Raw genomic sequence first — 26,961 nt, forward strand, 5'->3', positions numbered from 1 at the left:
GAACCCCTCTCCACCATTAGGGTTTTTATTAAGCCAAAAGAATCCGGCAACGCCACTAGGGGCTGTTTTGAAGCCTCCAATTAGATACACCTTATGAAGGCCTGTGGTCAATCGGAGACTGAAGTGGAAACTTCTGTCTTGTTGTCTGTGTCTTCACAGGAGTGAAGGTGTGGCCTGTATGCAGCCCAATCTTGCCTAGAACTGCTGCACCTGCTGTTCTTTTGCTTATACCTTAACCCTTGGTTACCACAGTTCCCTATTGTCATGTCTCAGTACTTTCCAAAGCAATGTAAAGATTCAGCGGAACCCCCATCAAAATATCAATAACATTCTTCACAGAAATTAAACAAAAAAAATCCTAAAATATATATGGAACCACAAATACCCAGAATAGCCAAAGCAAACCTGACCAAAAAGAACAAAACTGGAGGCATCACATTACCTGGCTTTAAAATTTACCACAAAGCTATGGTAAACCAAACAGTAGGGTACTGGCATAAAAACAAACACTTAGATTAATGGAACAGACTATAGAGCTCAGATACAAACTGACACATTTACAGCCAACTCATCTGTGACAAAGGCATTAAGAACATACAATGCGGAAGGAACAGTCTTTTCAATAAATGGTTCTGGAAAAAACTGGAAAACTATCTACAGAAGAATGAAACTAGACCCCTGTGTCTCATCATATACAAAAACCAAGTTGAAATGAATTAAAGACTTAAGTGTAAGATCTGAAACCATTAAACTACTAGAAGAAAGCATTGGGAAAATACTTGAGGACATTGGTCTTGGCAGCTATTTTTTTGTGTGTGAGACCTCAAAAGCACAGGCAACCAAAGCAAATATAGATAAATGGGACTACATGGAGCTACAAAGCTTCTGCACAGCAAATGAAACAATCAGCAAAGTGAAGAGACAACCTACAGAATGGAAGAAAATATTTTCAAACTACCCATCTGACAAGAGATTAATAATTAGATTATATAAGGAGCTGAAATAACCCAATAGGAGAAAAAGCAAATAACCTGATTTTTAAAATGAACAGATGAGTTGAACAGACATTTCTAAAAAATAAGACATACACATGGCCAATGGGTATATGACAAAATGTTGTATCATCTCACCCCAGTTAAAATGGCTTGTATCAAAAAGACAGGCAGAAACAGATGCTGCTGAGGTTGTGGAGAAAGGGGAACACTTATACACTATTGATGGAAATGTTAATTCCTACTGCCACTGTGGAGACCAGTATGAAGTTTTCTCAAAAAAAAAACAAAACTAAAAATAGAACTACCATATGATCCATAATTCCACTACTGAGTATACATCCAAAAGAAAGGAAAACAATATAGTCAGGAAGTATCTGCACCCTTATGCTCATTGTAGCCCCATTTGCAATAGCCAAAATATGGAATCAACCTAAGTATTCATCAATGGAAGAATGGATTAAAAATGTATATATACACAATGGAATATCATTCAGCCATAAAAAAGAATGAAATACTGTCATTTACAGCAACATGAATGAAACTGGGGTTATGATGTTAAATGCAGTAAGCCAAACACAGAAAGATCAATACTGCTTGTTTTCACTCACATGTGGGAGCTTAAAAATTGGATCTCATGAAGGTAGAGCATAGATTGGTGGTACCAGAGGCCAGGAAGGGTGGCAGGAGGTGGCATGAAAGGATAGAAAGAGTATAAATATAATTATTACCACTGAACTATACACTTAAAAATGACAAAGATGATTACTTTTGTATGTATATTTTACCTCAATAAATTTTTTAGAAAGCATACTATTGCAAAATCTTAATAGATAAGATGAATTTATGAAGTGTGTCAAAATGAATACTTATACTTTTAAAATCTTGAATTTGTAACATTTTTTTGAAGAGAAAAAGGAGCAAATCTTCTTTCTTAGGTTTTTGGGGTTTTGCTAATCTGTAGAGCAATAGCCTCAACACTCCTACATAAAAAGGGGGTTGGGGAGGGGGAGGGGAGAACTGCTTCAAATTAAATTCTCCCTTCAGAGTTACATGGTACAAATTAGTATATTAGCAGCTCTGAGAAGACTTACAATGAAAGTATCTTTAACTTTGTTCAACCCAGTTTGTTGAATTCTATAGACACAATATAGAGTTTGATGTACTAAGGTTTTTTTTTATATATACTTGGCATCTAATTTGTACTGTTCCTCTTATGTCTCTTGACATTAAAAAGTGTTGCTCCTTCTCTGCGCTGAATGCTGAATAAATGTTACTAATGGTTCCTTCATTATATCTGAAAGCAGTTACCAAATGTATTTACTCTTTTGTATTTTAATGTATCTATTTATATTCTTTTAATAGACTATAAACTTTTTCAGGGAAGAAGTCATCACTCACATTTTTTATGCCACTCTACCATGTGGTAGAGTATTATTCAGCCATAAATATGTCTACAGCTGCCATATGGTACTAAAAAAGCACCTCTACTTCACCTATGAAAAGAGAGTTTCCAAGGTCTTTTCATTTTTTCAGTAGATTAGAAGACTGGTTGATTGAAGCACACAGTTTTCTGTACAAGTAGAAGACTAACAGCATTCAAAAGTAGCACATTAGTAAATGGCTATGAAGATAGCACAAAAGTGTGTGTGTGTGTATGTGTATATGTGTGTGTGTGTTGTTGGTGTGGGGTCTCCACATGTGGGCCAATCTTGACTGATATTATTATTACTATTATTATCAGTGTTACTACTATTGTTTAGCACTTAATTACAAATATAGCACACTGAAATACAGAAAACAGAACTCTCTCCCATCAAAGCACCCTGGTAGAAACTGAAGTTATCTAACAAGATAGAGGTTTCAGTTTAGTTTCTCAAAACCAGATAAAACAAACAAAATAACTCTACCATAGCAATTTGGAATTTCAATTCTAAAAAAATACATGACCACACCTAGAGTCTTTCACCTGAAGAGAAAACCTCATTTAAAACACTTAGCTGAATAGGAAGTCATTTTATTGATTTTCGTTTCAAAAATATTTACTCAAGGGACAATGGAAAGTGTTGATTTAGTGGAAAAGACAAGTAATATATTCACCAGTAAGACACTTAAAAATTAATGAACTTATTACAACAATGATAGATACATAAAAATGTACATGTTTGCAACAAGGTTATGAGCTATAACATCAGAGGCTGATGGTAACAGAGTAACTAATTACTATTAGAATGTAGACTTTTTTCTTTGTCAGAACCATGTTTCTACATTTGCAACTTTCATATTACTTTAGTCACAGTTTCATATGTATTGCTATAAACACATATTTCAAATACTGGGTGGAAACTAAGGCAGCCAGATAGCTCAATAAACTAAGTGACAGAATGGAATCTCATAGATAAAACTTCTCCTCTGTATAACCTTAGGTCTAGGAAGATGATCTTAGTTTGAATGGCTCTTGTTAGGTAACTCTTCTAAGTTCAGTATTTCTCTGTAACGTAATTGTAGTTATTTAATAAGTATCATAGATATTATAAATTTGTGTCCAACCTATATTCTGATAAGAAAGTTAGCATGAATCACAGATCTGCAACTAAGCAGCCAGCCTCATCATCATTATCCTTCAACTACCTCTGTCTATGTGTTTCAAATCTTCCATTCAATTTGGCAAAAATTTTTTGTAAACCTGCACAGGTGCAGAAGCAGTTGATAGCACCAGGTTGGCAAACAGGCAGGCCAAAGAGGGCAGGACAAAGCAAATATAAACATGGGTTTCTTGGAAGCCGTTTCCATCCACGTGCAATAGGAACAGCTAAAAAAAAGTCAGTTTCCCTGCCAGAGTCTGTGGAAGGCTATAAAAGACTGTCATTACCCTTGAGACACAAGGAATGTCTTTAAGGTTCAATGCTAGGACTGTAATACTACTTCAGTGCGTGATTATGGGCAAGTCTCTTGTATGTTCTGGGCTTCAGTTTTGTTTCCTCTAAAATGGTTGGAATAATGCATCATTTAGAGGATTGGTGTGAAATTTTAATAAGATAACACGCTTGATTGAGCAGAGACAGAAATTCAACAGGATATTAACTCAATTGACATATTTATATGCTATATACTGTGACAAATGAGGGGAAACAGTGTTAAATATCTGTCTCCACTTAGTAACTTATTTTCTGGGCTTTAGCTAGGCTTATAACCTCCAGGAGGAAAGACATTTTCTAGTTTCTCTTTATAGCCAAATGTGGCCATGTGGTTAAATTTTGACTGATATTAGCAAAAGTGTTCTGTACTGCTTTCAGTTACCTTGTTTAAAAAGAGGGTGATAACCTTTCTTTGTCTCTTGCTCTTCTGCTGACTGAAATGTGAACATAGTAGCTGGAGCTCAAGTAGCCATCTTGGATCATTAAGTATATTTTATGTATTGAAGATGGCAGAACAACTTGGTCCCTGCAAAATTTGTGAAGCCATCTTATCAGTCACTTATCTATACCATGAAACTATCCTGTAACATGAATGGAAAAATATACTATAATTTTAAATATTCTGAATTTTCTCTTGGCACTGTTAAGGGTCACCTTGCTTGTTGTTGTGAAGCAGACAGAAACGCTTCATGTCTTCATACAGCTTATATTCTAGTGGAAAAGGTTGGGAGGGGGCAGGAAATAGAATTATTCAGCCTGTCCATTTCTAGAGCCCACATTCTTGTGTGAGGGAGAGGCTTGTATTTGGTCCCGTGCTGATGGTTAATTAATAATGCATTTACCCGGACCTAATATAAGACATAGTGAACCTAAGCCTTTCAGAATGAGACCTTTGATAAATTGAATTGTTCACAAAAGGCCAGTCTTTGATGCCACACAAAACGATTCCCTGCTGTCTTCCTTAGATCTCTGAGTTAATAGGATTTTCAAAGCTCATTCTACAAAATTCCATAAAGACTGACTCTTCATTCAATGTGATACGGATATATGGTGTGTAAGAAAAGACTGGTGACCTTTAAAGCTGTGAGAAGTAGTTTCGGATCAAATAGTGAGGTGCTATGTATTCTAGTTAAAGGTTTAGAGTAAGCAGAGATTAGTATGTTTGTAAGCAAAATAGAATTTTTATTAACTAAGTGCAGATATTGTCAAATGGGAAAGGAGTGGACATGTGGAAAGCAAATGAGGAGGCAGCTACAGTATCCTCAGTGCCATTTTTGTTGGGTCTCTTTTCCCTGACATTAGAAGGGCCAGTGACCCTCCAAAGCCAACTTATATAATTGACTTCAATATAGTCATATTAAGTTAATTCCCAGAAGGAAAACAGTGTCTAATAAGTCCTTTCTGAGTTGTTCTAAACAAACATAAAAACATATAAACAAGTAACAAATAAGCAGTGGTCTTTCAATATGAGAAGAGTAATGAAAAAGCAATCAGAATTGCAGAAGCTGAAGGAGAAAGCAATCACCAAATAAACATCTATCTAAGAACTTTTATTGAAAGATTTTTTAAAAAGAACCAAGTTTTGTACACCATGGTGCTAAGCATCAGTTGCTAAAGTTTTAGGTGATCAGTTTGATTCCTGCTGATAGATCCCGGAGCCGAGCCATCAAAGGAAATTATGTTTTTATTCAGAAAAGAACAAATTGCTCACAATGTCTTTCTGAATCTCGATTTTCTACTCCAGGAAACTAGAATAAGAAAGGATATTATTAATTTCTTTTTTAAGAAAAATTATAAAATGATGATGGAAGTAGGTATACAGGTATAAAAATTACAGCAGCAGCAGCAGCAACAATAACAATGATTGAATTTAAGATTTTCAATACACCTACCTCTCCAACCTGATTTTGTGCTTCTTTTTACCTCACTTACTCTTATCTATCTTGGTCTTCTCTCGGTTCTACAAATATGCAAAGGTATATTTTAACTTAGAGCTTTGCACAGGCTGTTCACTCTGTCCAGAATTGCTCTTTTTCTGACCCTTTGCTTAGTTGCCGCATTCCCTTATCGAAACATTAGCTCACCTCCTTAACATTATCTCATCTCCTTCCCTCTATTTCCTTATCTATCTCTTTTTAAAAAATTGTACTTGATTGATTTCTTCCTGTATCATAGAACATTGGTGTTGTCTTTTCTCAATTGTATTATCTATTTTTCTCAGCACTGAGCACTCAGGGACCAACTAGCACAGTGTCTAGCAGATTGTGGCTTAATGGTGATACTGGTTGAATGAGTGAATAAATAAAAAGTGTTGCATATTTTTCTTGCTTAGCTTGCTGAAAGTATAGTTTCTAAAATATGAAACCATTTAGCATGTAGTACTGAAACAAATGTATTTGGTATAAAGTGACAAAATTTCTTGTATAACAAAATCATAATTTTATTAAATAATTACTAGAATACTGTCATTATGATAACGGCAAAGTCTATATGCAGCGGTCAGTATCTTTATGAGGCAACTAATAACACAACAGTTTTTTTTTCTTAAAACAATGTCAATTTGTAAGATTTATTTCTAAATAGAAAGTCAGTATTCTCTTACTGATACCTACAAAGTAGCCTGTTTACAGTTTTCATTAGCACAGTTTACTTCAAATATATGGAAGTAAATTATTTCACTTTCTTGACTTAGAATAAGCATGTAGGCAGATCAGTAAAATAATATTCTGAAAATTTTCTATCAAAATGAATTTGGTATGCCCACTTTCTATAGGTCAACTGGTTATCATGCAAATTAAATAAATATTTCTAGTAACAATAAATAAAGCCAGATTCAGAGAAAATATCACTGGTTGATAAATATTATTAGAGATATCAAAATGAGTATATGTATTTATAATTTTTCTTCAATGTTCACACCTAAAAATTAATAAATATATACATCAATAATTGTAAAGCTATTAGAAACTGAAATTAAATAAAATATATTGCATGTAATGTCTGTGCTGTAGACAATGGTTTAGGTGTCATATTAACTTTTGGCCATTCTACAATATGACTTTTAAAGTTATTAAAAACAAGATAAATTTTGTGAGTTGGGAAGCACTAAAATACAATTTCAATGTCTAATTCATAGTGAAATATTTCATTAGCCTTAAATAGAAACAAAATTGGAAAACACATTAATTATGCTAGTGTGTACTGAATAAGTGTCTACTATAAATAAAGATAATGAATTTCTAAAATATAGAATTAGTAGGTTATGCATTTAACAAATATAAAATGATTCATAAAGTAATTAGCAAATTTATACATTGTTTTTCCCCAAATATATACCTATAATGCATATCCCAGAAAACCTTAGTCTTAGAAACTAACTACTTTTCTAAGAATGAATAGGCTAAACACTTAACATTTACATCTTAAGGAAAGCCTTTATAAAATGAAAACAGCACCATTAAAATCTACAGAGTTCTAAGCTGAAAATCAGGATAGATCAAAATTAAAACAACAACAAAAATAAAACATAAAGCAAAAAAAAATATGGTGATAAATGTATAAAGTAAATAATCAAGTTATAAAAGTATTCTAAGATTTATTAGGGAGGTCTTATAATTATATTATCTAACATTCCATAAAAATCTTTACATTAGGATAATGAAATCATCTGGGGAATTTGCTGTTCCAAGAAATTACTACATAACCAGAAATGTGTGAGTAATGTCCTTTTATATTTCTTTCTCTTTAAAGGTGCTGATGCACGTTAACTGCATGACTGAAAGAGGGGAATTCTGCACCACAATGTCTATGGAAAGTGGTAAGTCCTCTGGCGTATTTAACAACATGCTTTGTTTTGAAGATAATGAGGACATTACAAGCTGTTTGTGTCTTTTATCTAGAAATTTCTACCAGAGGCTCTTTTCAAACACCGTGGTTTTCAGTGCCTGATTCCTGTAGAATCCAAGTCTGGTTTTGCTGCAGCATCAGCTGGTACTCATGCTTGTTGAGGCCTGTGTGCCATTCGTGGGAACATACTTATCTTTGTGAGAAATTCACTCACTTTAGGTGCTCTTCCAGGGGGCAAAACTTTAATCAGCTTTTCAACCTAAGATTCTTCTGTTTGAAATTCTGAGCGCAGCTACGTATATTAACTTGCCTTGCCCCAACCTGAACAGGACTGAAACGAAAGTAGTAACTGGCATACTGTAATGATATGAAAGACCATATTAAATAAATACCATGAGATAGTATTGAGCCCTTTGAATTTTTCAGGAGGACAGTAATGTTCTATCAAGAAAATTATAGTTGAGTATTTTGATTGAGGTGACAAAGCTTAGTCTTAAATAATGAACCATAATGGGCAACTGGCTTGAACAAGGAATTCCTTTTTCTTAAACATGTCATTGCTCTGCAATTAGAACAAGATGATATATCATGGGGAAAACATTTCAGTGACACTGCCTTACCTACTGTAAATTTGTCCAGCAGACTTTATGACTTGATAAGCACAGATAAGAGCTAAGAGAACTCTTCGAGGAACTACTAAAGAACACAGAAGAAAATTACCTGAATTCTGAGCATAAAGTCTTGAGAATAATCAAAATAATCATATGGTTACAAAAATAGAAGTGATTTGGTATAGAAAATAGAACCACATAGAATATGGTTAACTACATGTTAAATAGGGTTTTTAAAGGAGATAGAAAACATAAATGAGAAAGTATTTTTTCTTTCTATGTATGTGTGCGTACATAAAATGAAAGCATATAAGAATTAACTGAACATCTAGGAGGCTGAAATCATTATAACATGGGATTAGAGCTATGGGATCATTTTTGCCAATATCATGTGAAATTTCTTAGTGTTAGAAATCTTTATACAAATAAAAAAGAAGAGCAAATAGTATAATGAACTTCCTTGTACCCATCATCTAGCTTCAAAAGTTATCAACCTTGGCCAACCTTGTTTCATCCATATACCTTCCCATATAGCCCCACCTATATATATAATATGACATTTTTTTGCAGGATGATAAAACTCCAAAGACTATAATTGTGCTTTCTTCAAGTACATAGGACAAGTTAAATGTAAAAAAAAAATCCAACAACACACACACACACACACACACACGCACTCTACACACATGCACCCCTTATAATGCACTCAATAATATAAGAAAATAATTTGATATTGTGAAAACATCAAATTATGAAATATGCCTTTTTAATGACTTCTAGATAATTAATAATAAATACATAATTATGCTCTTAAAATGACTTAATGTTGTATCTTCTGCTTTTTGAAGTTTGTGAACATTCTACTCGAATTTGAAGCCTGAAATTTAGATGGCCCTTACTCTTTCAGGCTTTCTGAGGAATTCTTCATGGGATGATTCTGTGTATTTTAAGTCAAAAGATAAGAAATGACCTTATTCGAATCATAACATTAACCCCCAAATTGCACAAAAGATTTCTAATAATCCTAGTATTTCATACATCAGACAAAAGATCAAGGGGAAATTCTAAATGTCAGGAAGATAGCTAATACAAAAACACTGATGACTGATTGGTTAAATAAAATTATAAATACACTATGCTACTTCAACGTCATTATTCCTTGTGATCTACACATCTAATGAAACGTATATTTGCTGAACATGGTAGGTGGGTCAGCAAAATAAAAAAGAAACAAAACAAACTACATATGTGAAGTCATTAGCCAGTCACTTTGGCTTAGTTTACTATCATGAGAATTGTTTCTGGCCAGGAAAAAAAAAAAACCAGAGCCCATTGTTTACTCAAGATATTACTTGGTTCTCTGTGAGAAGCTCCAGAAGTTTTTCCAGAAACCATTTTTGGTCTAATTTCCCTTGAGGTTTTTATACTAGCCAAGGATATGAAAGAAAGAGAGAAAATATTGGCCTAAACTCTACAGTGGTATCTAACTTGGTTTTCTTATGTTGCTAAGTTGATTAAAATGTATTTCCAGAACCAAAAACCCTCACTGTGATAGATTTTTTTTTTAGTAACGTAAATGAAAGACACATTTATGTATTCTTACAAGTGACAGGTAAATCCTGCAGTATTATACTTACTGCTGTATTAGAAAACATTATAACCACCTTGCTATTTTATAAGGAACCTTACAAAATACAGTAATACCTTATTTCATAATTAATACCAAAAATTACAATTGTAATGGCTTTAGTGCCTTAAAGCTATAAAATTAATATTGAGAGTGGTTTCAAACCCAAAATATTATTTATTTCCTGTGGTAATCATAAGACTAAAAGAGGTATCGGAAGGAAAAACTGCCTCCAACGAAGGTTAGCCATGGAGAAGATACATTTGGATTAGGCTTCAGGTACAGATTGTCAATTTGCTTTATCCTTTCAAAATTAGAAGAAAAACATCTCTGAAATCCCTGGGAAAGTGTACCCTTTACTAGAGATGGCATCATCTGTAATCTTGTGCTTTTGGAGACCAAAATTTTTTAGTTTAATCTCAACAGAATGCTAGGGAGTAATTAGTGCAACAGAAGAAAGGAGAAAATAGGGGGGAGATGAGGGTGCAATAACAGGAAGAGAAATAAATGGATGAATATAAAGAAGGATATAGTGAAAGGAGCTGGTAGAGGAAATTTCGGGCTTTGGCTCTAACTACCCATGTGACTTTGGATATGTCATTTATTTTATCAGCACCAGTGTCTTTGTTTCCAAAAACAGAATCAAATACTTTTCTTCTAATAGTGTTGTCATCAAATGAGACCATTTGGTAAAGTACCTGTATACAGTGGATGCCAAATAAATAGTAATTATGATTATTATATACATTTTCCAATCATCAAACAATTTTTTGAAAGTTTCAGAAAATAACTTTAAAATTAACTAATGAGCCAAAGATAAATTAGTCTCATTAATTTATAAATATAATTCATTATTACTTTTTTGTGTTTATGACACAGAGAAAAGAAACTTCAAGATTTTGAACATTTAATTGTACATACAGTTTCATGTTACAATTATATTGTGACACTTCAAAATTTTTGGTATCAGATTGTTTAGGTATTTACTCTTCACTTTATCAGAATTCATATGTCCTCCTAGGACAGAATTCCTTAAGTAAAGGATTTTCTTCCACGAACACGAATTCTTAAGCTATTGGTGTATTACTAGGGAGTGACATAAAATATATCCTTTCTCATAAGTTGATGCTAATCTCCAAATATCACAATCCATATATATAGTTTTCTAACCATTAACTATTTTAACCTTACACAATCCTGAAATAAAGATGAGAGAAATGTTCTCTTCCCCATATAGCCCACGTTCGGATAACACAATTGGAGTGCTCAGTTGCTATGGTGAGCATCATTCTAGAAGTACTTTTATAGGAAGTTTGATATGATATCACATAGCGTCTCATCAGATTTATGAAAATTTCTCAAAATGAGAAAGTACATTGCTGATCAGGAAATAAGACAAATGTCTATAGTGAACTTAAATATTTGGCTTTTTGCACAGCGACTATCTGGATTTACTGCAGCTTCAAGTTCTTTACAGGGTGGGAAGAGTGGTTGAAAGAATGGTTCTACTGTTTGTTTTATATCCTTGGGTATTTTGTTTTCTTATTTTGTTACAGTGCTTCGGATGTTTATTTCAGCAAACATCACAGGCAATGGAAAGGAACATTCGTTCGAGCCAGCTTTAATTTAATAGTTTTGCTCTCTCTGAGGCTGAAACCACTCTGATGGGTTCCCTGGCAATGATCTGGTTTGCTGTTCAAGTCTTCAGCCCCACAGGGCTGTCTACTGACAGTAGCTGCGTGGCTCATTTTGGTTGCTTTGGCCTGGCAGCATTGCCAAATGGAGGGAAGGAAGAAAGCTTACCTAGTCTCAAGTTTCCTGCTTAGCCTGCTGTATTAGTTTGTTCTCATACTGCTATAAAGAAATTCTTGAGACTGGGTAATTTATAAAGGAAAGAGGTTTAATTGACTCACCATTCCACATGGCTGAGGAGGCCTCAGGGAACTTAACAATCATGGCGGAAGGTGAAGCAGGCATGTCTTCCATGGCAGCAGGCAAGGAAAAGAGAAGTGTGAGAGTACAGGGAAAACATTTATCCAAGCCAAATGTGGGGTTGGAGCCCTCACACAGAGTCCTCACTGGGATATTGCCTAGTGAAGCAGTGAGAAGAGGGTCACAGCCCTCCAAAACCCAAAATGGTAGATCCACCAACAGCTTGCACTGTGCACCTAGAAAAGACATAGGCACTCAATGCCAGCCCATGAAGGAGCTACTTAAGGTCATGGGAGCCCACCCCTTGTATCAGCATGCCCAGATGCTAGACATGGAAGTGAAGAAGATAATTTTTGAAACTTAAGATTTGATAATTGGCCCCCTGGATTTTGGACTTGCATGGGGCCTATCCCCTTTGTTTTAGCCAATTTCTCCTATTTGGAAAAGGTGTATTTACCCAATGTCTGTACCCCCATTGTATCTTGGAAAGAACTAACTTGTTTATTATTTTACAGGCTCACAGGCAGAAGGGACTTGCCTTGTCTCAGATGAGACTTTGGACTATGGATTTTTGGATTAATGTTGGAATGAGTTAAGATATTGGGGGACTGTTGGGAAGGCATGATTGTGTTTTGAAATGTGAGGACATGAGAGACCAGGGGAGGGAGGGGCCAGGGGCAGAATGATATGGTTTGGCTCTGTGTCCCACCCAAATCTCATCTTGAATTGTAATCCCCACCTGTTGAGGGAGGGACCTGTAATCCCCACTGTGGAGGGAGGGAGGTGATTATATCATGGGGGCAGTGTCCCCCATGCTGTTCTTGTAATAGTGAATGAGTTATCAGGAGATTTGATTTTTTTTTTAATTGGAGTCTTGCTCTGTCACCCAGGCTGGAGTGCAATGGCATGATCTCAGCTCACTGCAACCTCCGCCTCCCGGGTTCAAGCGATTCTCCTGCCTCAGCCTCCTGAGTAGCTGGGACTTCAGGCACACACAACCACACCTGGCCAATTTTTGTATTTTCAGTAGAGACGGGGTTTCACCACGTTAACCAGGCTAGTCTCGATCTCCTGACCTCATGATCCACCCACCTCAGCCTCCCAAAGTGCTGGGATTACAGGCATGAGTCACCATGCCCAACCCAGTCTCAGGTATTTCTTTATAATAATGTGAGAACAGACTAATACACCACCATTTGTCGCAATGTCTATTTAGAACAAAATATGCACTCAAGATATGAAAAGTATGTGTGAGACGGGAGCAGGGTGTGAGTATGTGTGTGTGTTGGGGGGGAAAGCTTAGGGTGTAGTCACTAAATTACCTCCTAAAAGCCAATGCTTTTTCATCTCAAGCTGGAAGATACACCATGATATGTTTTTAGGAAATTCATCGTGAGGCATATTTTGCTTTGGAGAACATAAAAGAACTCTCCTGGGAATAGCAAAACAGATTATCTGAAGATTTCTAAAGGTTATAGAGTAAAATCTGGGAAAGTGTCCTAATTGTTGCCCTAATGACTCACCATATTCAGCCTCTCCCTTCCTCCCTTCCTTAATCATGCTGCTAATGCTTATTTTATGTAAAAACCTCAACTGGAACTAACTAGGGCATCTTTAGGGTAATGTTAATTTCTAGGCAATAGTAATTTTCAATTAAAATTGCACAGTGTACCAGTGAATTGAAAGTCAGATAGAAGGATGCTATATTATGGACTTTTTGGTTTCTCTAATTAGCCCTATATCCCGCACATTTCTCAAAATTGGCAACAAGTATTTGGTTGTTTTCAGTTTTACGCCACAGTGCTTATCTGGTCTCCATTCCTCTCTGTGGAGAGGAAACCAAATTCTCCCATACATTTAGGCTCAGCTCTCCTCAGGCTGTAGTAAGGCCTGCATAGCTCAAGATAAGAGAAGAAAACACTTCAAACAGCTAGGAATTAATCAGCCAACTTGGCTTCAAGCTCGGTGTTACAACGGAGCAATTCACTTTCAGAAGCTCACTTACATTAACTGAAATTAAATGAGACAGGCTTGTTTAATTCTTGTATGTAAAAGGCTCGTGAAGCACAGTTTAAACCAGTTACTTTGTGATGTCATGGAGCAGAGGGCTAATTGAGCTCATTGGAAAGGGAAGAGCCCATGGGTTTGTATCAAAGAGCCGTTGGGCTGGCTTTTGAAACAATTTCCTTATGTCTTATTCATACCTATACAGCATTACATTTTGTATTGTTCATTATCATTTAACCAGAATGTTCATCCCCTCCTGTTATGTCAGTATTATTTGTAATAGGAGAAGCTCCTTAGGGAATACATATGATAGTTTAATTGTTCTGTGAACCAATGTCTCTTAAGGCCTTTCTCATTGTATCTCAGAACATTTCTACATGCAAGCAATAGGATTAGTTATCACTAGTTTAAAGTATTCTAGAAAACAGATTTTTGTTATACAGATGGATTTTAATAAAGGGCTCAAATACATAATAAACACAATCAGCCAACATATATCTCTGGCTGTTTCAAGTTTTCCAATCAGATATTTTATTTCACTAATAACAATATTTTGTTTATTTAGGTGTTTTATTTATATATTTATATTAGGATTAATTTTTTAATAACTTTTATTGAAAAACACATTAAATCTCAAGGATATATTTATGCAAAATTGACTAATTCTCTCCCAACGTTTGAAAACTATGTACTGAACCAGTTTAGTAACTAAGGTTATCTATTTCCTAATTCAATGATTAGCCAATCAGAGCAATCAATGTATGCTAATGATAGGGCTAAGTGAAAAATCTCAAAAGAATTTAAACCTATGACTCTAAACTCAGAATCATCTGTTATAATGATTAAACCACTTGCTCTCTATCAGATACTAGCCCATTAATTTAGTCAAAGATATCGAAAGCTTTTTGTTCTACAGGCTGTTAGTAAAGCAAATAAAACACTTATCTGTGTTATTGACAAGTTCTTAATAGATTCGTTCATTAGACACCATAACCATTCACTAAGTTTTAGCCATGCAGAGACAAAAATTTAGGAGCATTTGAATGATTTGGGTGTTAATTAAAATTTGGTTCCTCATGAAGGTTAAAGTTGTTCAATACATTCAAAATATGTTTTGTGGCTGTCTAGCCCAATAATAACACTTTAATTGTGACTTCTTCAGTCATTTTTATAAAAATAAAATAGGATTTGATGAAAAGCAAATTGAAAATTCATAACTCTTCACAAGGTGGTAGATTTGTTTTCTTAAATATTGATTTATGTGGAGAAATATTTCTATATATGATCAATACATAAGGATTTAAGTACAAAAAAGAACTGTTATTCTGTAACTCATAATATTCTACATTAATTGAGAGGGAATTGACAGATGATGTTTACCATCCCACATGTACACATGTGGGATATTTTGTCATGATAATGACATGAAATGGCTGAGTACTACTGTTTCTAATATAAAAATGTAGATATAGTCCAAGAATTTATCAACAAAAGAAAGAATAATAGTCATGTATTCATACAGTGGAATATTATATGACAGCAAAAAAAGAATAAACCAAACAATCACATATATTGAAAGACTATCAAAAGTTTATTTTGAAAGATCAAAGCAAGCTCTACTTGATAGTAGTATAATCCCTTATCTGTAAATGTCAAAATCAGCCAAAATTCAGGAATATAAATAAATAAATATATAATATATATAATATATAATATATATTTGAGACACAGTCTCGCTCTGTCACCCAGGCTGGAGTGCAGTGGCGCAATCTCGGCTCACTGCAAGCTCCGCCTCCCGGGTTCACGCCATTCTCCTGCCTCAGCCTCCCTAGTAGCTGGGACTACAGGTGCCCGCCATCACGCCTGGCTAATTTTTTGTGTCTTTAGTAGAGATGGGGTTTCACCATGTTAGCCAGGATTGTCTCGCTCTCCTGACCTCGTAATCCGCCAACCTTGGCCTCCCAAAGTGCTGGGATTACTGGTGTAAGGGAATATATTTTTATAGAGATTCATACAAATAGGTTGAACTAAGTAGAAAAGCAAAATAATAGAAAATATATCTAAAGCACTATGTGCCAGACACTTTCAATAAAATACAATATATATTCTTAACTAATATTATGATTCCCATTCAAATATAGGAAATGACATAGAGAGAGGTTAAGCAACGGCCTCTAAGTCACACAGTTATAAAGTAGGAGATCCAGGACTTAAATCTAGCAGCCTAGCTCACAAGTTTTTGAGCCTAGCTCAATGAGCCTGGCTCAATGAGTTTGTGCTCTTTCACTGTCCTCTATAGCCTAGAGGGGATAATCAACAAAATTCACCATAGTGTTTACTTCTTGGAAGAGTTGGGGAAGCAGTGGGATAAAGCGTTTGGGAAGAGACTTAGAGAAAGCTTCAAAGTAAAGATATTTTTTCTTTTAGACAGTATTTATATATATATATATATATATGTTCATTTTATTATTTCTCTTTAAAACACACATATGCTACATACAGGGTTTATCAAATTTTTATGTTTTTATTTAGATTTATATATTGCACAATTACAGGAGAATATCTGAGAATCTTGCTACTCTCAGCAGAATTAATCAAATCACTATGGTAACAGAAGTCTACTTTTCTTTAATGAAGTAAAAAAAGTGTTTAAAAATTAACACATTTGGTAATGAATTTTCCTCTTACTTTGGTTTATAGTCCATTTTTTCACCCTGAGAGTGGGTAGAATGAAAAGTGCTGATAAGTGTTTGAATGTATACCAACACTGAAGAGAAGAAGTAAAAGGACATACAATGACCTGGTGCTTTGACTTTGAAAGCTGAGATAGTACTTCACATATTTTTTTCTTTTATTTCAAGATATTAAAATCTGCAAGGTAGTAGTAAAAAGCTATTAGTAACAAACGTTAATTGAGCACTTTATATGTCAAAGGCTTTGTGCTAGGTATTAGCATATATAATATTTTATTTCATGTTTACATCAAACTGAGAGAGGTGTTTTATTATGATACCCATTTTCAAATGAGAACAGAAGGCTAAGATAGGTTACATAACACTAATTTTCACCCAACTAGCAAGTTGCGGAGCTACAGTTAGGGTGCAATTCTTTATGATTCCAAAGGTAGTGCTCTTAATCATTAATTCTATTTGAATTTTTGGTTTATTTGTTAGTCTTTTTCATGTGAATTTTTGAATATATAACAGAGTTGAAAGAATTTTACAATGAACACCTGTTGCATTAGTCTGCTTGGGTTGCCATAACAAAATAATACAGACTGAGTGGATTAAACAACAAAAATTTATTTTCACAATTCTGGGGGCTGATAAAAATGTTTTATTAGATATTTATGCTACTCCATTCCTTTATTTATCCATCCAACTATCTTACATTTGATGCATTTAAAGGAGGGCCATGAACATTCCCATAGAAAGTTCCCATTATAGAGAGCCATAAACTTTCCCATAATACCTTACCATATGCAATATTAATTGGAGTTCAAAATTTGATGCCTTTTATGTAAAATTTACATATAACAAAATGCACAAATCTTAAGTGTGCAATTCAGTGAATTTTGGCAAGTGCCTATTCATTTGTAAACCGAACCTCAATCAAGATATAGAACACCATTATCCCAGAAATTTCTCTCATCCTCTTTTCAAATTAACTCCTAATTCTGCCTTCTGGCAACCATTGTTCTAGTGCTTTTCTGCCATCAATTAGAGTCACCTGATCTAGAACTTCACATAAGTGAACAATATAAAATGTACTCTTTTTTTGTAAAGCTCATTTGACTGAGCATAATGTTTTTGAGATTTACCCATGTTGTTGGATTTGTCAGTAGCTTGACTCTTTAAATGTGGAATGGTATCCCATTGTATGAATATATTATAGATTATTTACTAGTTGTCCTATTGGCAGGAAGCTGGGTCATTTCTAGTTTGTGAGTATTATGAACAAAGCTGTTTTAAAGTTACAAAAGTTTTCTGTGGGCATGTATTTTCTTTTCTTTTAGGTAACAATGTAACGTCAGATTGCTGGGTCTTAAGTATATGTTTAGTTTTGAAAGAAAACACCAGATTTTTTTCAAAGTGCATATACACTTTTGTACTCCCAGCAAACACTGTACGGTACCACCTCCACATCCTCACATCTAGTTGTTGTTATCAGTCTTTAAAAATTTTAGCCGTTCTGATGAATGCGTAATAATGTCTCATTGTGGGTTTAATTTGAATTTCTCTGATGATAATTATGTTGAGCTCTTTCTTATATGCTTATAGGCCATTTGTGTAAGGCATAACTTGTTTTATTGTGCTACACAGATAGTGTGTTTTACAAATTGAAGGTTCGTGGCAACCCTGCGTTGAGCAAGTCTATCAGCATTATTTTATTTTAACAGCATGTGCCCTCTTTGTGTCTCTTCGTTAGTTTTTGGTATTTCTTACAATATTCCAAACTTTCCCACTATGTTATGTATGTTCTGATGATATGTGATCAGTGACTTTGATGTTACTATTGTAATTAATTGTTTTGGGGCACCACAAACTGTGCCCATATGAGATGGCAAACAATCCGTAAGTTCTAACTGCACCACCAAATGGCCATTCCCCTATCTCTCTTCTCCCTCTCTCTTTGGGCCTCTCTATTACCTAAGACAAAACAATACTCATATTAGAATAGTTGATAACCCTACAATGCCTCTAAGTGTTTGAGTGAAAAAAAAGTGTGGTACATTTTGTATTTGAAATCAAAAGCTAGCAATGATGAAGCTTACTGAGAAAAACATGTCAAAAGCCAGGATAGACTGACAGCTAAGCCTCTTGGGCCAGTTAATCAAGTTGGGAAAGGAAAAGTTCTTGAAGGAATTTAGAAGTACCACTCCAGTGAACATATGAATGATAAGAAAGCGAAACAGCCTTGTTCAAGATATGGAGAAAGTTTTAGTGGTCTGGATAGATCAAATTAACCACAACATTCCCTTAAACCAAAGTCTAATTCAGAGCAAAGCCCTAACTATCTTTAAGTCTATGATGGCTGAGAAACATGAAAAAGCTGTAGAAGAAAAATTAGAAGCTAGCAGAGGTTGGGTCATCAGGTTTAAGGAAAGAAGCCATTTCCATAACATAAAAGTGCAAGGTGAAGCAGCAATTGCTGATGTAGAAGCTGCAGCAAGTTATCCAGAAGATCTAGCTAAGATTATTGTTGAGGGTAACTACACCACACAACAGATTTTAAACGTAGCTGAAATAGCTTTCTATTAGAAGAAGTTGCTGTTTAAGACTTTTATAGCTGAAGTGAAGTCAATGCCTGCCTTCAAAGATTCAAAGGACAAGCTGACTCTCTTGTTACGGGCTAAAGCAGCTGGTGACTTTAAGTTGAAGCCAGTGCTCACCTATCATTCTGAAAATCTTAGGTACCTTAGGAATTATGCTAAATCTACTCCTCCCTGTGCTCTAGAAATAGAACAACAAAACGATAATGATCTAACTTTTGTTTACAACTTGGTTTACTGAAAAATGTAAGCCTCCTGTTGAGAAATGCTGTTCAGAAAAAAAAAAAAGATTTATTTCAAAATATTACCGCTCATTGACAATGCGCCTAGTCATCCAAGAATTCTGATGGAGATGTACAAGAAGAATAATGTTTTCATGCCTGCTAACACAGTATCAACTCTGCAGCTCATGAGTCAAAGGGTAATTGCAACTTTTAAGTCTTATTGTCAAAAAAACATATTTCATAAAAGTTTAGCTGACATAGATAATGAATTTTCTGAGATTTGGGCAAAATACATTTTAAACCTTCTGAAAAGGATTCACCATTCTAGATGCCACTGAGAACATTTGTGATTCATGAGAGGGGGTGAAAATATCGACATTAACAGGAATTTGGGAGAAGTGGATTCCAACCCTCATGGAAGACTTTAAGGTGTTCAAGACTTCAGTGGAGGAAGTAACTGCAGATGTGGTGAAAATGGAAACGGAACTAGAATTAGAGGTGGAGACTGAACCTGGGCCTGAATTACTGCAATCTCATGGTAAAACTTCAATGTATGAGGAGTTGTTTCTATGGATGAGCAAAAAAAGTGGTTTCTTGAAACGGAAACTACTCCTGGTGAAGATGCTGTGAATATTGTTGAAATGACCACAAAAAATTTAGAATATTACATAAACCTAATGAATAAAGCAGAGGCAAGATTTGAAAAGATTGACTCCAGTTTGGAAAGAAGTTTCTACTATTGGTAAATGCTTTCAAATAACATAACATACCACAGAGACTATTTATGAAAAATAGTCAATTGATGTGGCAAGCTTCATTATTGTCTTATTTTAGGAAATTGTCACAGTCATCCTAACCTTCAGCAACTACCACCTTGATCAGTCAGCAACCATCAACATGAGGCTGATCCTTCACCAGCAAAAAGATTATGACTTGCTAAAGTCTCAGATGATTGTTAGCATTTTTTATGACAAATTATATTTTAATTAAGGTAATCCCATTGGATTTTTTAGACATAATGCTATTATACGCTTCGTTGACTATAGTGTAGTATAAACATAACTTTTACATGCCCTTGAAGTGAAAAAAGTTGTGTGACTTCCTTTACTGTGATATTTGCTTATTGCAGTGGTCTGGAACTGAATCACAATATCTTCAACGTATGCTTGTATCTCCTTTTATGAGATGTCTAGTAAGATGTTTGTCTCATATTTTTAATTGTAGAAACTTTTTATTTTGAGCTATAGGAATTCTTTTTATATCCTGGATATCAGTACTCTCTCACATATATGAGTTTCATATTTTTCTTTCTGTTCCTATATCTTGCTAATTCATTTTCTTCATGCTGTCATTTGATGAAAAGAAGTTGTACATTTTGTTGAAAATTTAATTTACTAATTATTTATGGATATTGTTTTCTGTGACTTCTCAAAATGATTTGCCTACACTAAGTCACTAAGATACTTTCTTATGTTTTTGTCTCATGGCCATCATCTAGCTAGATAGGTAGATAGATAGATATTATGAATTTGCTTGTGTAATAATGGGGACTAGAGAAGTCCCAACAACTGTATTCAGCAAGCTGAAGACAAGCGAGCTAATACTGTTGTTCCAGTCTGAGTCAGAAGGTCTGAGAACCAAGATAAATGATGATGTAAGTTCCAGTATAATTATGGTGGCCTGAGAATCAGGAGAGCCAGTGGTGTAAGTTCCAGTTCAAAGGCAGGAAAAGACTGATGTCCAAGCTCAGCGGTCAGGCAGGCACAGTTTCTTCTTACTCAACCTCTTTGTTCTATTCAGCTATTCAGTTGATTGGATGAGGCCCATTCACATCAAGGAGGGTAATCTGGTTTAATCAGTCTGTGATTCAAATGTTAATCTTATCCAGAAACGCCATCACAGACTTACCTAGAATAATGTTTGACCAAATATCTGGGCACCCCATGGCTCTGTCAAGTCAAAACATAAAATTAACCATCACACTATTTATTCCAGCTCCATTGTTGAAAATATATTTTTTCCTATTTGAAGATTTGGCATCTTTGTTGAAAATCAAATGACTATGTATGAGTGAATCTATATCTGGGCAAATGAAATAAGAATTATTTTTATGAGTACTTTGAACTTGTGGTGCTGACTCTTGCTACTGCTTTCAAGAAGTTCAATGAGGATAGCAGGTATGATGGCACAAACCATCAATTGTCAAGTCAGATTTACTAAATGCAAAGTATTACCCACGGACTAAATTTCACTAATAATTTAAAGCAGAGGTTGATGAAAAATTTTTTTACAAATGGCTAGATAGTAAACATTTTAGGCTTTACAGGATACAAATGGTCAATATCACATTTTTTTTTTCATTTTTAAATAACTCTTTAACTCATAGGCTATTATTTGTTTACCCTTTCTTAAAAATGAATGAGTAATCACAAGCCACAGGGAAAGAATGATGAAATATGAAAACACTTAATGCAGCTTTCCAGGTCTATATTTCTGCATTAAAATGCATTCCAGACCAGATTTAACATATGGCATATCTGAATTATACGTGCATGACATCAGTCACACAAAGTGTATTATTTTGGTCACAAAACATCTCCATTTTATACTCCAATAATTTTACCCTCTGATAATTATATAGTGGACACAGATAAATTCCAGCAGACAAAAATAGAATAATTCCAGCCTAGATAGAATAGATATATTCCTATAAAGGTGTTTTAGTACATACTACCAAGAGGTCCGGTTAGTGTGTTTGCGAGGAGATTTTCCCAGAACTTTCATTTTTTTTTTTTTTAAGTAACAGATCCCTTCCCCAGATGTGTCCAAGGTAGAGGCAATGGCTTATAGACCAGCTACTGTTCCTTCCTTTTAAGCAAGTTTAAAGGAAGTTTGCTGTTAATACCAAGAAGACCTGATGGTGGATTCACATAACAGAAAGACAGTGTAGATTAAAATGTGAAAGTGAGTAAAACAAAGCCTTTGAGGATGTATGAGTGGGTAGGATCCAGACACAGATCTTGGGTCATTGACTTAAGTTGGACAAGCTTTATTCTTCCTCAGAGACTAGCCAATGTAAGAGAGGGGGTTAAATATAATGAAATGCTTTGACATGGAAACATGTAAAAAAGGTATATTCATGCTGGATAACCTTAATTTGAAGAGTGACAATGGATATTGAAAATCTGTTACAAAAGAAAGGAGAGAAATAAACAGAGGACTTGAGAAAACTGGAAATTTCACTGTAAGAAACATGATAAACCATCAAGGAGCTAAAACACCTAGCAGTTGTGGTTATTTTATTGTATAATAAAATGATGAATAATAAACCTCTAATGTGACTGAATGTCATTAATGTGTGAGAGGTGATGAGCAGGGCAATTTATAAACATTATTATTATTATTACTAATTTTTTTTTTTTCTTTGAGACAGAGTCTCGCTCTGTCTCCAGCTGGAGTGCAGTTGTGCAATATCTGCTCACTGCAACCTCCGCCTCCCAGGTTCAAGTGATTCATCTGCCTCAGCCTCCCAAGTAGCTGGGACTACGGGCACACACCACCACACCCAGCTAGTTTTTATATTTTTAGTAGAGGTGGGGTTTCCCCATGTTGGCCAGGATGGTCTCAATCTCTTCACCCCGTGATCTGTCCTCCTTGGCCTCCCAAAGTGCTGGGATTACAGACATGAACCACTGCGCCCTGCCTAATAAACAGTATTGTAAAATAAAAAAAAAAATTGTATCATTCACAAGTATTAGATTCTAAAGTCAGCCAGCATGAACATTTCATATACTGAAATACATTCTTGGAGAATTTCCAAAGAAAGACATAGATTGAACACTTTTCATTAAATCTAATGCAGCCAGCTTTTCCTTCAGCACTGAAACAGATTGCTAGTTCTGTTTGAAATTGGCAGCTTACATTTTGGAACTATGTTGCATGAAAAATATTTATCTTTGACTAAGAGAAAGAGATTAACTGATTTACATCCCTCATCTCAGGCTTACTCCAGGGCAGAGACTTATTGGGTAGAAAAACTGATGGAATCATTCATTCCATTTACTTTATTCTCTCTTTCTCAAGCCAATGTATTTCACTTTAAGTAAGTTAAATAACCCATGTAGCATGACTCTGTGATTCCCACAAAAACTCTAAAACTAAAGATAATATTCTGATCTTACAGTGAGGAAATTGAGGCTCAAATGGCTAAGTAACTTGAGGAAGTCCAAATAGTTCATAAAATGGCATTGGTTTTCAGAGTATTCGATATATTAATGAAATGGCTTATTTTAGAATCCTGACTAGATGGGGAAAAAAAGAAGACAAAGTTTAACATGTATTAAGACAACTGGAAAAGATCAGATATTAAAGTTCAATATAATTTGGTACACTTAAATTGAACCTCTACTGTGTTTTACATATTAACTAGGCAGTGGGATGTTGAAAATGACTAAGGTGTGGTGGTTGAACTATTAGAATATCATATAAATGAATGTCAGCCTTACCAAAATGGGAGAATGAGCATTGTAGTACTTAAAAAATTAGGCTTATCTATTAAGACAATTAGAGTTGTAAATACTAATTAGATGCTGTGGAAATGAGTCATCATTTGGTGGCAAAGGAAAGAAAACTTTGAGGCAAGTTTATGTGAGCTAGAATTTTAGGGAAAGGCTTATGGGGAATATCATGGGCAACCAGAGGCATTTTATTAAGGGTTCATAAAGACAAGAACTTCATAAATGTGCTGTGATAATCTCACTATATTCTGTCTACATATTAGAGGTTTTTGTACATATGTTCTTCCCACCGGGAATCTCTATAGTGGATTATATTTAATACATTAAAATTCATTTCTTTGAGACAGAATGAGTTTTCTGGTTAATGAGATTTAAAAAGTTGATGAAATAAAAAGCTGTGAAACAACTTGTCACTCACAAGAAGGATTTGACAATATCTTCAAAATATTCTTTACTGACAGTTGTATGATAAAGGATGTGATGCTGAAATACTTTGCAACAGTTGCAAATTAACGAAAGAATCAGAGATTAGTGCTCTCTCTTCAGAATGTGTGGGATACCAAAGTACACCTTAGGTTTAGCAGTTTTCAAAAAAAGTCCTAAACTATTAAACTGAGAAAGATTAGAAAAACCTAAATGCATATGTTTAATACTGCTAATCTGTTGAATTGCTTTATTTTAAGCCAGGCTGTGCAAAATATTAGAAAATATATATTTCTAGTCACAGTTGAGTGTATTTTTAGGAGTGATTTTCAAAACTTGAAAGAGACTTTAAAGAAATATAAATATCATGCTCTGCTCTCTTCCGTTCCCCCTAAGGTCAGTTTCTTGGCAGTGTTCTTTCAGTCAAGACAGTTGTCTTTGCCAGTACCAGTCTACTGGGAGACAATTGTGTGTTGGGCAGCTGCCTTTTCAATAAGAGATGTGTCTCTTCCGAAAATATGTTTTTGGTACCTTCTCAGGTCTGAGAAACCAGTCCTCTAGTTGTTATTCCATATGCTGTGCCATATGCTAATTTGACATGAAACTGTATTGCAGGCAACTTTGTTTTTCCAGAGCATCACTCCAGGAGAGTAGACAGAACAGTGGGGCCACATCAATAAAGGGATCAGTTTCACACCCATGAAAGGGACCCACTGGCTATTCACATGATCCTCATAAGGAATAAGATGATTTGAGGATGATTAAACAGAGCTTTAAATGAGAGTCCTGAAACAAAGCAGTGCACTCTAGTGATATATGTAATACACACGGTCCCAGAAATTCTTTGTGAGAATTTCTGATTTCAAATGAAAGACTCCCCTGATAAAAGTGGGTGAGCTATTTATAGCATTTAGATGGATGTAATTCAATAGGGACTTTATCCAAAATCTGTTTGGAAAGCTTGGGACCTCATCGTGAAGCTACTCTTTTTAGAAAAGGATGAAAAGTAAATAAGAATGCATTTCAGAAATGTTCTGAGAAATTGTGCTGTTGTATCTTTGTAATAGTATTTGTGATGGTGGATCCACATTGGGGTAATAATGAATGATATTATTGAGAATCGAGAATAAGATTTGGTGGGGAGCTCACAGCCCAGGCTGTAAAAGGTGATTTGCTGCAGGGAAAGCAAAACAAGCCTTTATTTTTGTGTTAGTCCGTTTTCACGCTGCTGATAAAGACATACCTGAGACTGGACAATTTACAAAGGAAAGAGTTTTAATGGAGAAGTCACAGTTCCATGTGGCTGGCGAAGCCTCACAATCATGGGGGAAGGCAAGGAGGAGCAAGTCACATCTTACATGAATGGCAGCAGCCAAAACAAAAACAAAAACAATCAAACAAAAAGCTTGGCACGTCCCGTTTTAAAAACCATCAGATCTTATGAGAGCCATTCACTGTCAGGTGAACAGCGTGGAAGAGACCTGTCCCCATAATTCAGTCATCTCCTGCTGGGTCCCTCCCACAACACGTGGGAATTATGGGAGCTACAAGAGGAGATTTGGGTTGGGGACACAGAGTCCAACCATATCAATTATCTTACTCTCTGAGATGAGTTTGAGACAACTCAACTAATAATGATAGAAACAAGCAAACAAAAATCCATAGCTTTTCTCTTACTGTGGAAATTTGAGAGAGTGGGGCACAGTGGATTTCATTGTGGTCATTTCTTTTTTACCACATCTTAATTAATTAAGTCAATTTTTCTTTGTAATATCTGTCCTTGTGGACCTGGACTTAAACAGGTTATACCTGCTCACTGTGCCTACTGGGCATTTTGTTCCAGGAGTTTGGAATTAGGAGACATGTGTATAGTAGACATATGAGAAGTGCAATGTGTGTTTTTAATTAAAGCAGGCTGAAGGGGATAATGACAATGATGTGTGTGTGATTTTCTTAAGTTGGAAAAGGAGGGAAAGTTGGACGGTTGTTGTTGTTCCTGATTCTACTTCAGGGACTACTTAGTCTTATAGATACTGAAATTCAATTTTTCTGAGCTCTACCAGGGCTTATAGGCTCTGTGGATTCAATGCTGACTAAACTCTCAAGGGAGTAGTGATAAATGGCAATGTCAATTTATTTACAGTAGAATATCTATCTGCCCTTCAGTGGCTTCTCCAGTTTGTCCACTGGGGATATTAGCAATCCTCACTGGGAAAATGTTTATCAGAATTAAACTAGACTGTTCAATAATCTGGCCACCTAAGAAGGAGAAAGTCTCAGAGTTCTTTTAATCCATTCAAATAAGTCAATGTCAATATCATGAATACCATAGTTGAAACCTTTTAAATAAAATGCTGGGAGACAGAGGCATTGGGACTTGGAGGCTTTCTCATCTTTCTTACTGTCATCAGTTCTTCCATTTCCCATTTGATCCATTTGTTCATGAATCATTGAGTTGTCCTTTCACCCCTTCCCTCACCTGTCCTGTGGCTGGTAGCCCCTGACACTGTGACACTTATTCCCCTCACCCTGGATTCCTCAGAATCTGTATCTAAGTGTCAGACCAGCTAGACAGCTGTTGGCCTAAAGAAT

At 35.1% G+C, this 26,961-nt stretch overlaps 1 annotated feature.

Moving 5' to 3' along the window:
• Positions 12,409-13,608: an enhancer, noted in NCBI's record as "P300/CBP strongly-dependent group 1 enhancer chr4:97023059-97024258 (GRCh37/hg19 assembly coordinates)". NCBI's record gives its function as "activates an origin of replication core promoter dependent on BRD2, BRD4, P300/CBP, MED14 and CDK7 cofactors, with strong dependence on P300/CBP, by STARR-seq in HCT116 cells {active_cell/tissue: HCT116}" and the evidence as "EXISTENCE:reporter gene assay evidence [ECO:0000049][PMID:35650434]".

The sequence above is a fragment of the Homo sapiens genome, chromosome 4 (assembly GCF_000001405.40).
Source record: "Homo sapiens chromosome 4, GRCh38.p14 Primary Assembly".
NCBI classification, from domain to species: Eukaryota; Metazoa; Chordata; class Mammalia; order Primates; family Hominidae; genus Homo; species Homo sapiens.